General features: G+C 40.0%; 1 protein-coding gene and 1 pseudogene across 10 annotated transcripts in view; both read left to right on the top strand.

Moving 5' to 3' along the window:
• The window catches only part of PPP2R2B (protein phosphatase 2 regulatory subunit Bbeta), a 500,779-nt gene that overhangs the window by 371,297 nt on the left and 114,036 nt on the right, over positions 1-15,446 (top strand). For all 10 annotated transcript variants that reach the window (NM_001271900.2, NM_181676.3, NM_181674.3 and 7 more), the window contains 2 exons: positions 9,082-9,179; positions 12,080-12,245. In NM_001271900.2, coding sequence (NP_001258829.1) covers positions 9,082-9,179; positions 12,080-12,245 — 264 coding nt within the window. The remainder of the gene's footprint in view (positions 1-9,081; positions 9,180-12,079; positions 12,246-15,446) is intronic.
• On the top strand, positions 2,550-4,278 carry KRT8P48 (keratin 8 pseudogene 48; annotated as a pseudogene).

The raw sequence follows: 15,446 nt of genomic DNA, 5'->3' as shown, positions 1-15,446 counted from the left end.
TGTGGCTAGGTCCCTCTGAAGTCATAATTTTACAATGAACACCATGAATAAATTGGGGTTGGCATTCTATCCCAGTAAGCTGCTTTCATATCTGAATGGTTGAAAAATAATACACCATCTCCACAGCAGGGGAAGGAGGAAAAACACAAATCATCTTAATACTAGGAATCAAGCAAGTGGGAAGGAAAATTGGTTGTGTGGTAGAGTAAAGTGGAAATGTGCATGTGAGAGTTTGTGCAAATATGTTGTAAGGCAAGGGAGTTTCCAACTCAACATGCATTAATAACCTGGCCCTGTGCAAAGTGCTATAAGGAAAACAAAGATGGAAAGACATGTATAGTAGCATGAATTTAGATGAATATAACAGAAAACTTACTAACAGTAGCTTAAACCACAGGGTTTAACAATTTCAGACATAGGCTGTCTTAAGGTAGGTTTTAGTTGTTCAACAGTGTCATCAAAGATATTGTCCCATTCTCCCATCTGTCATACTCAGCTTCTTAGCCTTTTAAAGTCCATAGGCTTATTACCTCATGGTCACATGATGGCTGCCACAGCCCCACGTATTATGAACACATTTAATTACAAACAAAGGCAGGAAGCAATGAAGAGTCCGGTCAGAAGGCCTTCCCTCACTTACTTCCTTTTATTCAGGGAAGAAAACTCTTTCCCAGAATCTCTGTCCCGCTCCTGCTTCCCCAGTAGACTTTCCTGTATGCCTCATTGGCCAGATCTGGGTCACACAATTACCCCTAGCCACAAGGGAGGCTAAAAAGCAAGTATGTGGGTTTTCCAGCCTCTACAGTGGGACAGTAGGAGGCAGGCAAGGAAGAAAGATTCTGAGTAGGAGTAGCCAACCAAGAGTATCTGCCATGACATAACACATGCCATTAATGGGCTTGATCTACAGGGTCAGACTGACATTTAAGCAGTGCCCATTTTTTAATACTGCACTTATGGTTAAGTAGGAAACAGCCATTGTGATAAGAGCTTGGGACTTGGAGCTATTGGACCCTTCTATCTGTATTCTTTCATCTAAGAGGTAAACCAGCACCAGGTTGAAGATAAAACCAGTATGCACAGAATTAATTAAATGAAAGGAAGAATATTCAGTATCCAAATACTAGACACTGATTGGATGACAGAGGAAACAATTCTGGATCAAACAGAACGTATTACACACAGTAGGTCAAGGATAGCAAGCATGTGGCATGTGTAATCAGAACTGTGTATTTACTACTTCTGTCTTTAGTACCAAACTAAATGAGTGTGAGAAGCAGTGTCAAGTTAAGAAGGTAACGCTACTGAATCAGGAACTCAAACATAGTTCCATTTAGACAAGGGCATAGGTGAAAAGGTAGAATACTTCATGGATAACGTAGCTTGGATGCAGGTTGGCAAAAGTGTATTGATGAATTTTTTTTAGCTCCATACCATCCAAACAGAATCCCAAATAGTAATAACATCTAGACAGAAAGATTAAAAAAAATCTTTGACTCTGTGTACTAAGAAAATAATTATTGGTGCCAAATCAAGTTGAGTCATATCAATAGAGACACTGTATCTACACAGCATTTTTAACTCTTACAAGCTCTTATATCTATCAGTTCATTTTATTCCCATAATTTTACTTCTTTTGGAAGAATTGTCCACTAAAAAGAGCAGTATGAAGGAACTTTCTGGGGTCAATGGAATTGTTCTATATCATGATAGTGGTTATGGATACATATCTCTATGCATTTGTCAAAACCTTTAGAACTGGATGCCACAAAAAGTGAATTTTACACACACACACACACACACACACACACACACATACACACACACATACATAGATATACAGATATACAGTGTTTTTTTTTTTTTTGAGACCAAGTCTGGCTCTGTCGCCCAGGTGTGAGTGCAGTGGCATGATCTCGGCTCACTGCAACCTCTGCCTCCCAGGCTCAAGTGATCCTCCCACCTCAGCCTCCCAAGTAGCTGGGACCACAGACATACACCACCATGCCGAGCTAATTTTTTTTATTTTTGGTAGAAATGGTGTTTCACCATGCTGCCCAGCCTGGTCTCGAACTCCTGAGCTCAAGGGATCCACCTGCCTCAGCCTCCCAAAGTGCTGAGATTATAGGCGTGAGCCACCGTGCCCAGCCTATATATAAATTTTAAATTTTTAAAAAGTTTTAAAGCTGCTGAGATGAGTGCTAAAATCTTTCATTCAGTTTGAAAACAAATTAAAATTGTTTACAAGTTAAAAATTGTTCAAGTATTTATGGTTATGGCAAAATATAGAAAATACCGAAGATTTAGAAAAAGACCATAAGAAAATAAATTATGTACGTTCTACACCAAAAAGTACAATTTTGGATTCTCTCTGATAAACTTTTGTCTATAGAGAGAGAGTGTGTGGGTATGTGTAGTCATTAACAATTACTTGTAGGAGAGTCAGATTGTAAAGGAAACTTAGTTTTATATTTTAAGTGCCACCTTGTCATTAACAGAAGTTTCTGTAAGTGTACATATTGCTTTACCTGTTAGAAAAGATATATTCTACCAAGAAGCAGCTTCTCCACTCCTTCTGGAATCTCCGCCTGGTTCAGCCCGCCTGCCTCCACTCCTGCCTCCACCATGTCCATCAGGGTGCAGAAGTCCTACAAGGTGTCCACCTCTGGCACCCGGGCCTTCTGCAGCTGCTCCTACACGAGTGGGCCTGGTGTCTGCATCAGCTCCTTGAGCTTCTCCTGAGTGGGCAGCAGCAGCTTCCGGGGTGGCCTATGGTGGGGCCAGTGGCATGGGAGGCATCACTGCCGTCCCAGTCAACCAGAGCCTGCTGAACCCCCTTAACCTGAAGGTGAACCCCAACATCCATGCTGTGTGCACCCAGGAGAAGGAGCAGATCAAGACCTTCAACAACAAGTTTGCCTCCTTCGTCGACAAGGTACGGTTCCTGGAGCAGCAGAACAAGATGCTGGAGACCAAGTGGAGCCTCCTGCAGCAGCAGAAGACGGCTGGGAGCAACATGGACAACATATTCGAGAGCTACATCAACAGCCTTAGGCGGCAGCTGGAGACTCTGGGCCAGGAGAAGCTGAAGCTGGAGGCGGAGCTTGGCAACACGCAGGGGCTGGTGGAGGACTTCAAGAACAACTATGAGGATGAGATCAATAAGAGTACAGAGACGGAGAATGAATTTGTCCTCATCAAGAAGGATGTGGATGAAGCTTACATTAACGAGGTAGAGCTGGAGTCTTGCCTGGAAGGGCTGACGATATCAACTTCCTCAGGCAGCTGTATGAAGAGGAGATCCGGGAGCTGCAGTCCCAGATCTCGGACACGTCTGTGGTGCTGTCCATTGACAACAGCCGCTCCCTGGACACGGACAGCATCATCGCTGAGGTCAAGGTACAGTACGAGGAGATCGCCAACCGCAGTCGGGCTGAGGCCGAGAGCATGTATCAGATCAAGTATGAGGAGCTGCAGACGCTGGCTGGGAAGACCTGCGTCTTACAAAGACTGAGATCTCTGAGATGAACCGGAACATCAGCTGGCTCCAGGCTGAGACTGAGGGCCTCAAAGGCGGGAGGATTTCCCTGGAGGCCGGCATCGCAGATGCGGAGCAGCGCAGGGAGCTGGTCATTAAGGATGCCAACGCTAAGCTGTCCGAGCTGGAGGCCGCCCTTCAGCAGACCAAGTAGGACATGGCGCGGCAGCTGCGTGCCTACCAGAAGCTGATGAACATCAAGCTGACCCTGGACATCGAGATCGCCACCTACAGGAAGCTGCTGGAAGATGGAGAACATGAGTATCCATACGAAGACCACCAGCGGCTATGCAGGTGGTGTGAGCTTGGCCTATGGGGGCCTCACAGGCTCTGGCCTCAGCTACGGCCTGAGCTCCAGCTCTCGCTCTGGCGCAGGTTCCAGCTCCTTCAGCCGCACCAGCTCCACCAGGGCCATGGTTGTGAAGAAGATCAAGACCCGAGATGGGAAGCTGGTGTCCTCTGATTTCCTGCTCAAGTGAACAGCTGCGGCAGCCCCTCCCAGCCTGCCCCTCCTACGGCTGCCCCAAAGCCTAGGAGGGAGGCTGCTGTGCAAGGAAGCACAGGGAACAGGAGACTTACCTGAGGCTCAGCCCTAGCCCTCAGCCCACCCGCGGGGGAGTTCACTGCCTGGGGACCCCCGCCCCTTGCCCATGCCTCCAGCCACAAAACAATTCAATTGTTTTTTGTTTTGTTTTGTTTTGTTTTTCTGTCCAAAATAAAACCTCAGCTAGCTCTGCCAAAAAAAAAAAAAAGAGAAAAGATATATTCTGAAATGAAAACACTTTGACAAAATTGCAATCATTTGACATAAACTGTTTTATTGACTGATTATTTTCTAAATTTTATGACATATTAACATCTTTCAACAAGGTCATCTTGGCATAATCCCAGTAGGAGTATTTGGGTTTGGCCATAACCAGACTTTTTTCCTATCCCCTCCCCAACCCCCTATTTGTGGAAAATATGCTCAAATGCACTATTTCAGTTACCAAAACTTGGTAAGTTACTTTGGTAAAGTAAACCTTATCAGAGAAAATGGATGCTGACTTTGGACCGTGATCCAGGACCCAAGAAGGAGACCACAGTTTTATATGGATGGGAGGAACAACTGTAATTCCCATCAGGACACCTAAGAATCCCGTTTGTTTAATGATCCACAAAGTAGTCATTGCCAGTCTAGCTAGAAGCCTCTGTGCTGGGATGACAAATGATACACATCCTACCTCCCCCACCACCCACCCAGATTCATTACCCATTAATCATGGCACCCCAGCCTAGAAGTGACCCCGCAAAACCTTCTCAACACAAACCTGGTAACTATGATCATTTCACCATTATCATTCACTATGAAATATATTTTCTGTTCTTATCTTAGCTGAAGGCGAAAACTACCAAAACCCAATCCAGTCATCAGAAATAAAGCCAGGTATTGAGTAGGCAGAACTAGTCAGCTGATGCAAGTAGGGTAAATGACTTTATGATATTATCTACCAAATGTTTCTTAGATGAAAGATAAAACATTTAATGGGCTCTGAAAACTAAATTGCATTACCCTTGCATTTCCATCTCTATGATTGATGTTGAGAGGTCAGTGCTAGTGACCTGGTCAGTAAGATATTCCATCTGTAGACTTTGAGTTTAGATCCTAAGTCTAAACTGAGTCTCCATTTTATCAAAACAGTCACCCTCCTATGTGAGTTGTATATCACCTAATAATCCAGGTGCCTGCCTCAACTCAATTCTCTGGCATTGCATAGACTCCAGCCTAGCATGATACTGCAAGAGACTAGGGATGAACTAGGAGATTCCTCTGTTTCCGTAAGCCTCACAATCATTAGCCTCACATGCGTATCATTGTTAAGTCAATATCTATTATTCAGGTAAATAATACTTTATGTATGAAATTACCAGTCTAGAACTTTTGTAGGATGCTGAGATTGATTTAAAAAAAAAATAATAAACTCAGCCTTAATAGTGCCTATTGAGCTAGAAATGGGGTTACCAGGCCACCATCTTGTGGAAATTAAATCAGCACAAATAGATTTGGAGCAAGGCAAACTTCACACTACCCAGGGTTTCCTTTAAAAATCACTTTAACTACATCTGACCTTTCTAGCTGTTTCTGGCTTTTGTTTTTAGTCATTGTGTACTTTATCCACATCTATATACAACAGAGGAAAAATGCTCAAGTTTGTAGTTTCTTGATCAACAGCATGATTAGGCTGAGCAGTTAATGAAATGTGGAATTGTCATATAAACTTACAATTTAAAGGTGAAAGCCATGTTGAACTTGATGAATTGATTTCTGTGGATCATGATTTCAAATGACGTTATTATCTCTAAACTTGCTACCTTATTACTACATCCTCTTACCATATCACAAAATTATTTTGTCTTGAGCAGTATATTTTCCAGTTTAAACTGCCTTACCAAAGAGCATGCTGCAAACACAAGAGTATTTGTATCAGAAGTTTCAGTATCTTGAAATTGGAATGTATAATGATTCATGAGTTTTGCATCAATTATTAAACAGTCATAGATGAAGATATGCAGAGATGGATGGGGCAGTAAAGTATTCCAGTTACACCTACTGGCTTAGCAATGATAAATGAGTCAGGAAACATGAAAGTTCAAAACAAGTATTAACTTGAGCTGCCACGGCTTATTCTCTGAAGGGAAGTAGACAATAGCATGATATAAACAGGTTCATGTACAGAGCAGCTGGCTAGTAGAATTAAAATAAAGGTAAGGACTCTGCAAGAGGGCTAAGGAATTTCAGAATCCTGCCATGCAAATCACCCTTTCTCTTACAAGGTTCTTGAGGGAGACATAGCATTGCAAAATAATAACACTTGGAAAACAAAGGAAATATTTGTATTACCTGGGACCATGCCTAATACTCCATAATGCAGAATTCTAATAATACTGGCTTAAATCATGTGACTTTGACTTCCACTTGAATCCTGCCTTGTTTTGACTTGCATGGGTCTTAAAGTGAGAGTAAAGACATTTTCAGAGTCTAGGAAGAAGGAAAATGTATGTGTCATCCCCTGGGAAAGCAAGTGTTGCCCTTGGAGTAATATCTTCTTGGCAACTGAGCCAAGAGCTCACACTGGGAAAAGCTACTTAACTCTCTTCTGATACCCAACTTCACCAAAAGGAAAGGCCCATCTTTAGTTCTCATTGTAAGGCCCTTGCAGCCCACCCAGAACTCTAGTGTTCTGCATTAATCACTGTCCAGTGAAAGGGCATAGACTGCATGTAAGCAGAACTTTAGAACGTAGCTCTGAGACAAGAGCCAGGCATTGTAAACCTCAGGCCTGGCTCCCACCACCCTCTCATTATTTCCTGCTACTCTTTCTTTCTGAGAAATGTTTGTATTTGAGCAGTTCAAGAGCCTTGAACTGGACCAGCCTTTGTACCTGACCAAAGACAAAAAGTGAAAAGCAATAGACATGCCCGCTTTAGGCTGTACCCAAATTTGGAAGCCCCATGAATAACCCTTTGCTAACCATTCATTGAAAAGCCAGAAGCAGTGGTTAATGTTAGAAGTGTAACTTAGCACTGGTACTTTCAAGCAGGGCAATCTGAAGCAACTGCAAATGTTAAGTAGATGCCTTCTCTCGTCTAAACATGGGAGTAGTTTGCTAAGATGGGCAAACTGTAACAAAGGAAAGTGGTCAAATAACTCACTTGAGGTGTCTGGCTTTCTCACTGGCTGGACTTTCTTCTCAATTCATGGGCATTGGTTACATAAATGGACCTTCTAAACTTACATCTGGAACTTAGTAACCATATTGCTTATTTTGTGTTTCCTTAAGGTAGTATTCACTGGAGTCTTCTCGAGAAAATGAACTAGATTTCTAGTTAAGAGCATCAGTATTGGAATGAGATAGCCTATTCCAAATGAAGACTCTGTACATTAGAAGTCATAAACTGATAACCCACAAACCACATTCAGCCCACAGATATGATTAACTTTTTCATTCTCATGGCATTGGAAAAAATACTTGCCAATGTATAAACTTTAAGAGATTTTTGCATAAAAGTCCTGATTTCCAGCTTCCTATATATATTTAAACAATGAGAACATCAGGCAATACATGGCAATACAGGCAATCATGGCCCCAATCAGCTTAAGCTGAATAGCCTCTTGCCCCTTTAAAGGAGACATACATAGTCCTTCTAGTTCACCTATGTTACTTTGTGGCCCTGCAGGCCTTTGTATTTGCTATCTAGGAGGTCAATTATCTAAGAAGTCAAAACAAGAAATCAAGAATTGTTCTTTTAAATGTGTCTAGCTTGAAAGTGACCAAGGTTTATGCCTTATTTTTGTTAACTTCTGCACAATGAATGACCATAAGGAGCCTTTTCATACATGGAAAAGAACAGTTATATGTGAAGTGGAGAATTTTACACTACTTACCTGAATAAATCAGGCATACAAAGAAAATCCTGAAATAATGATATAAAAGTAAGATTTGAGATCAGAATTACTCAGGGGTAATTGCCTTAGTTTTCCACCTCACTGTTTCCCCTTTGCTTTCCTTACCTAGACATTATCTTCAGAATGTTCCTGTCAAAGGCCATAGTCATAATTCCCCTGCCTCTTTTTTTTTTTTTTTTTTTAACTCATTTGCACTCTTGGTAGCAATTGTTGGAGCCCTGCAGGGGAATAATTGTGGGGGAATTAACCTCTGACATTTTTCTAAAAATAGCCCTAATAAATCCAATCATAGGTAATTTACCTGTCCATGTTCCTCCAGGGGTAACCAGCATAGAAGAAAGACTTGGCAGGCTGGCATTCCTTCAGCAATTATCTGTGATCTGAGTTCCTGGTGCCTGTGCATTTTCTCTGATTAGAAATACAGAGTACAAATTGCCCTCACTTCTCTGCCCTTATGACCTTGTTTTCTCAGCACCCTTCTCCTGGGGTTGAAATAAGTCATGCTCTTCCAGAAGGATGTGTTGGGCTCACAAAAAAAGAAGGGGCACGGGCCAAGCTGGAGCATTCGTCAGTTCCTTCCTTGAATTATCGACTGGCAGAGTTTTCCCAATGATTTCTTTGTGCTCTGTTCCTCCATTTTCCATGTCTAAGCTTCAAGCATCCTAACCCTGCTTCATCACAGCCCCCAGCCCTGATTTGAATAGCCAGAACTGAAGCCTGTGTGGGGAAGATTCTTGGTGTAAAGGCCGTGGATGCACGAAGGGTCTGTGGTTGGTAGAAATCATCAAAGAAAATAGCCATTTCCTTCAGCCATCATGAAGTTAATTTTCTCTTCCTTAAAAGGGTATAAATGTGTTTTTCCCTTTTATTCTCTCCAGATGTTCCAGGAGACCACTGTGCAGTGTGGGCATCTAGGAAATTTACTTCCCAAGTGCCACTTCTGGTGGCATTTAAAACCCAGAACATAACATCCTTGTAAATTCCACTGCAGAGACAAAGCCCTAAGCCCTTAAATGCACAGAAAAGTATATCTATTATCTATCCTTTCAAAGTAAGTGTGCAGTTACTTAAATTGCCTTTGTCTTCTTCTTTGCAGCTGACATTATCTCTACGGTAGAATTCAACCACACGGGAGAATTACTAGCGACAGGGGACAAGGGGGGTCGGGTTGTAATATTTCAACGAGAGCAGGAGGTAAGTGGTGGTGAATGCAAAATGCCCATTTTCTTCACTTTTTAAAGGAGGCCTCCTACTGTTCCTTAATCCTTATGTGTCGCCCTTAACCTTGCTGCTTTGCTCGAAAACTAAAAACTGCCAAAAAAGTCATTAACATCAACTGTTATACATTCAGACTCATAAAAGCCCTGTAAAAGAGAGCCTTTTCTGGGCATGGCCTTATCTTTCTACGCCTGGATGTTACACCTGCAAAACAACTTCACTTCTCGCCTGACCTGCAAAATTCCATGGGTGCTTGTTGAGCGTAACTCCTCCTTTTTCAATGGGATCTGTCATAGAGCCATTGAAATTCAGTCTCCCTTGATTTCAGGTGTGCCAGAATATGCAGGAGGAAAAAAACATAGTTTATTTGCCAACAGATGTGAAGAGGACAACTTGGGACAGCAGAGAAGAAAATGATAGCTTACCTCACCTAAGGGGGTAAAAGGCCACAAACTAGCGTCTGAGTAAAGCTTATGACACACATCACAGTATCACTGTAGGTGACACAGAGGGCCCTGGAGCTGAGTGCTACATATAGGACCATTTCTGAGCAGGAGTTCTAACTTCCAGTAACTCTCATAAACCCATTTCTTCCTGAGACATGGGTTTCACTAGGAATTGTTTCTCTTTTTCATATAAATTGAGGTTTTTGGTGTCTGCTTCTGTTTGTCAAAATGGAATTATGGCCCAATTTGATTTCCTTGGCCTCCCCTGGCATGGTCTTCGAGCTTCCAGCAGGCCAGTCTGTGTTCTAGTAGCTCTCCCATCTGCCACTGCCTGCCTCTGAGATTCACCGGGCACTCGGGAAGCATGAGAGAGGCCCAGTGTGAGAGGAAGGTTTCACAAGAGACTTCCCTAGCAATTTAAAGCCTGCTTTGTGCCTCAAAGCCACTTGCAGTACACCTCCCCTCAAAAAAGGAAAGCCTCATTTAGAGGTGATATATTTAGTAATTGCACATTATTTGCAATTAATTTCTATAAGGGCATCGTAATCCCTCGGGGTTCCATATAAATTCAAGTGTTCAGCATTAAATCAGGCATCCAGCCTATTCCATTGGCCCTGGAAACACGAAAATGTGGTTGGCAAGTAGAAACTAATAGCTCTTCATGACCTGGAATTTTTCCTGCTTTTCCAGAGCTGCCTAGTGCTAATTGGTCTGGCACATACTACACACACTTGACAGTCTGATTTGGATGGTAGCAAATCAACACTCTTATAAATGTATTGTTAAGGTGGACTGGCTCTCTCTGCAAATGAGCAGGATAGTACCAAGTATGTCAGCATTTAAAGTCTTTTGAACACTCATTTTCAAACCTCCTTTTCCAGCTTTTTCTTAAAAAAAAAAAAAAAAAAAAAAACCAATTAAGTTCGCAGTGATGATAAAGAGGAACCGGAGGAGCTATTTAGCATAAATTACCCAAGGCAGCATGTTGCCAGTAATATTCTGCTCTACATTTTCCATTAGCTATTTATAGGTTTCACCTATTTTAATTTAGTGAAATATTTGGGAAGCCTGATTCATTCGTAGAATGATGGGGGACACATTTTCTAAAGCAGGGTAGTTTTGTTCAATAAAAAATAAATGTCAGTGAGGATAAAGAACCTGCAGTTAAGCGTTAAGCTTTGTGGCCAGTCTTGGGATTAAAATGAGCACTAAATCCGAGAAACAAACCCATGTGACATCATCTAGGGCAGACCTGCTTTTGACTTCAGTGAGTGAGCTCCAGGAGTGAATTCTCAGGAGGCACACACCCAGAGAGTCTGCACAAATACATTACACACCCAGGGTTCAGCACTCTCACTGGTCAGTAAGTTGAGATTTGGGTTTGGATATTTTATATCCACCTAGAAATATACATTTGGAAATTAACCCTTTTATTAAGAGTCAAGCTTTTATAACAAATGTTTAATAAGACTCATATTTGAATTTTTGAGTTTTTCAAAGCCTGCTTCTTGAAGCTCTTGGTAATAAGGACCTAAAATATCTGAAATAAAACTTCCCTTTCCACTTTCCTCCTCTTCTTCTTCTTTCTTTCACATCCTGTTTTTTTTCTCCTCTCTTCCTTTCTTCTTTTTCTTCCTGTTTCTGCAGACCCTTGCCCTTGTGTTTAATTCTCTCATCATGTATGTAGTCCCTGCTGTTTGCTCATTGCATAATCAGCGCTAGAGGAAAGCCAAGAGGTAAAGTCTCATCATTCCTTAATGATGCAGGTAGCATCCCTGAGCTCCTGTCTGCTTTGTCACTCATGTTGGAAAGAAAAAAAAAAAAAAGGAGCAGGGGCATATCTGATGCCCAAATCTGCTCCTTATGAGCTGTGAGACCTAGGGAAAGTCATTTAATATCTGAGCCTCTTTTGTCCATTTCCTTGCCCCACCCTACCTCAGAGATTTCATGAGAATCAGGTGAGATCTTAAAAGGCCAATGAAAGTCATAGATGCTACAATTTTGTACTCTCTTTAAGGGGTCGATGTAAGTATTTACGAATGCCACTGTGGGATGACTCACTCCAAAGGGTGACTGCAGCATCTGTTAGGATGCAAAAAGAAAATATTAGAACTTCTATTTATATTGATTTTAAAATTTTGTTCTATTTTAATATTTCTATGTATGTATTATGTATACTATATGATAGTACAGAAGTTCATGTGTATAATTATATGTGTGTGTATATATATATATATATATATATATATATATATATTTTTTTTTTTTTTTTTTTTCAGAGGTGCTAGTGACTATCATGGCCCTGCCCTCATCCTCATGGCCCTGCCCTCATCCCACCCCCAATGACTGCTGGAAAAAAAAGGGAGTTGGCGAGTTTTACAGTTGGCTACTGTGATTTAATCTGTTGTGTATTTTTTTCCTTTCCTACAGAGTAAAAATCAGGTTCATCGTAGGGGTGAATACAATGTTTACAGCACATTCCAGAGCCATGAACCCGAGTTCGATTACCTGAAGAGTTTAGAAATAGAAGAAAAAATCAATAAAATAAGATGGCTCCCCCAGCAGAATGCAGCTTACTTTCTTCTGTCTACTAATGGTAGGTGGAATTCCTGTTTGGTATTTTCAGAGATACAGTCGGCCAAACTATATACTTCAATCTCTCTTAACCTCAATTTCCTTTGAACTGTGTGGGCTGTTGAAAAACTTAGAAATAACATTTGCAAGATGCTTAGCAGAGTGCCTGGCACACACAGATTCGGCCCTCAATAAATAGTAACTACTGTTTTTTAAAATATTAAATTTATGACCCAATTATGTGAGACCCATTATCTGCAGTTTTCAACTATTGCAGATTATTTGCAGGTGTTTTTGGAATGTGACTTCCTGTCTTAAGATTCACTGAATGTTATTCTGGGAATACATTTCAGGAAACTCAACATGCTGTCTCTGTGAGGTTGGCATATTGAATAGAAGTTATTAATCCCTGAATATATTTTAGGGTCTGTAAAGCAGATGGCTGTGTGTCTCTCTGACAAAAATTAACTTCTATGATAGGAGCACAAGGCAAGAAGAGATAGGGACTTTATCAAAAAACTGATCAAGAAAGGGTTTCTTTTCCTATCTCCCTCCATACTTAACACCATTTGTTGGATGAGGAGGAGTTGACATAAATAGGTCAGAGAGAGAGGATGTTGGGTACTGAATAGAGAGACAAATTACATAATGACTGGGTAAGTCTTTATACAGTGGAATTACCTAACCTCCAGGTTCTTAAATCCTTGCTAAAAGAAGCCATCTAAGCTCAAAACAACTTGGCATAAAGTCACATGTTAAAGGGTGCTAATTGAATAGCATAACAATTAAGAGGATTCGTATTTAAAAATTAAACACTCTCTCCCAAGAAAATGAGTTGGAGAATGATTCATTTTATCTCATATGTGAGTCTATGAGGAATATACATTTTAATTTAAATCGAGAAGCAAGAAGCAAGGGATTTAAAAAGAAAGGGAAATGTTCATATTTCAAGTGAAAAAATACAGTGTCAATAATGTGATCAAACATACATGAATATTTTTAAAGACTGGAAGGAAATACAACATAAGGTTCATCATGATTAATTTTTGTGCAGTATGGGCAACTTGTCAATTTGTTCCTTTTGTCATTTTAATTTGTAAAGTTTTACAATGAGTCTCATATTAATCTTATGGAAAAAAGCGGAAAGTTATTTAATGCATTTGAACCCCAAATCTCTCAAATATAAAGCCAGCATAGAAGTCTAAAAAAATGACAATTCGGACGCAGCTGGTTTAGGATTATCCAAGCATATCTCATCTCCTCATGACCAGATCTCTACTCATCTGTTTTTCCAGACTCCAAGTAGTTTGATTCTTTCTCATAACTATATTTATTGTTCTGTTTATGTTTTGCAATCCTGATTTCTTGGAAGCCAAACCACATAAATTTGTTTCAATTTCTTTCCTTTTAATTTTGCTATTTAAGTTTCACTAACGGGCTTTGCAGATTCAACACTACTTGGAATAAAAGAGACTTCTGATGATTTTGACTTAATTACTTTAGGCAGAGGAAAAATGTCTGATTGTCTTCTATAGCTAACTCACTTTATATTCTCAAATTTAGCCTATTGATTATTGCATTTAAAACTCGAAGACTTGGCCAGGCGCGGTGGCTCACGCCTGTAATCCCAGCACTTTGGGAGGCCGAGGCGGGCAGATCATGAGGTCAGGAGATCGAGACCATCCTGGCTAACACGGTGAAACCCCGTCCCTACTAAAAATACAAAAAAATTAGCCGGGTGTGGTGGCCGGCACCTGTAGTCCTGGCTACTCGGGAGGCTGAGGCCGGATAATGGCGTGAATCCAGGAGGCGGGGCTTGGAGTAAGCCGAGATCACTCCACCGCACTCTACCCTGGGCGACAGAGCAAGACTCCATCTCAAAAAAAAAAAAAACTCAAGGATTTATTAACTACTTTGTTGGCGGGGGGATGGGAAAAAATCAGTGAAATGCAATGAAGATTAATTATATAGCATAATATTCTGTTAATTGAGTTTTTAAATAGTTTTTTGATTAACAAGGATATTATCTTCCCATTTGGGATACTGTTTCATATGCCAACAGCATCTCAAAATGATTCTTCTAAGAAAAATTCCCATGTTCTTATGTAATTTTCTTTTTTATACTAATATTGAGGTTGAGAATCCCCCTTAGGCCAAATAGGTTAACATGCAAAAGTTAATGGAAGACAATTGGAATTACTGTACAAAAGAGAAAATGAAGATAGATGATAAGATTGTGTTTAAAAGCTGCCACAAGCGATGATAAACTACTCAGAGAACCAGCAAGAAGAAAGAAAAAGTCATTACTCATTAACAGCCACATGTTCCTTAGACTTTTTTATTCACAAAGCTTCAAGATACTGAGTCAAGAAAAAAAGTGTGATAATAAAGTCAAGAATGACTCCAGGCAACCCAACCATGGGGAATTGGATTGAATTCACTATCAATTATCTTTAAGAAAATATACTGCTTATCTTATTATAGTTAGGAACAATTTTTACTTTCTGCTAGAATATATTTTCAAACTTACAATTTCAATAAAAAATAAAACCAACATTCAATTGTGAATCTAGACTCTCAAATTATTTATGACATAAAAACACATTGTTTTACCTCATTTTCTGCTTCCACTTCAATACCTATAATGAGAAGTGGGGTATACTGAATTTGTTTTTCTCACTATGAAATTAGTACATGTTCATGGAAAAAAAAATATAGAAAAACAAAAATAATAAAAGTGTTCCCATCCAGAGAGAACCACTGTTAAGTCTTTTAAAGTAAAAAGCAAAAAGATACAAATAAATTTGTTTGTTTCTTAATGGAAATATGATATATTCTGCAAACTCTTTTGTAACTAGGTTTTTATTAATATAACACTTAATAATAGGAATATCTTCCCAATTGTTAAATATTCTAAAATATCATAATGACCACATAGTATTTCCTTGTATGATTCTTCTTTAGTTTACTAGTAAGCCTCCTACGATTAGTCCTTTAGCTGTTAACAAATTCTCACTATTATAAATCATATATGCAATACGTTATAGTATACAAATATATTCTATCCCTATAAATATATTTGCAGGGATAGACGTTGGTATAGATAAATATGATTAGGCAAATGCATACTGTAAACTAAGTATGCCATATTATGTTTACTAAAAACAGTTACATAATTGTATACATAAATATAAAAGAAATCACAAAATTTGTATAATAGGTA

The sequence above is a fragment of the Homo sapiens genome, chromosome 5 (genome assembly GCF_000001405.40).
Source record: "Homo sapiens chromosome 5, GRCh38.p14 Primary Assembly".
NCBI lineage: Eukaryota > Metazoa > Chordata > Mammalia > Primates > Hominidae > Homo > Homo sapiens.
The sequence above is the reverse complement of the archived record's forward strand: the minus strand, read 5'-3'. Positions and strand labels throughout refer to the sequence as shown.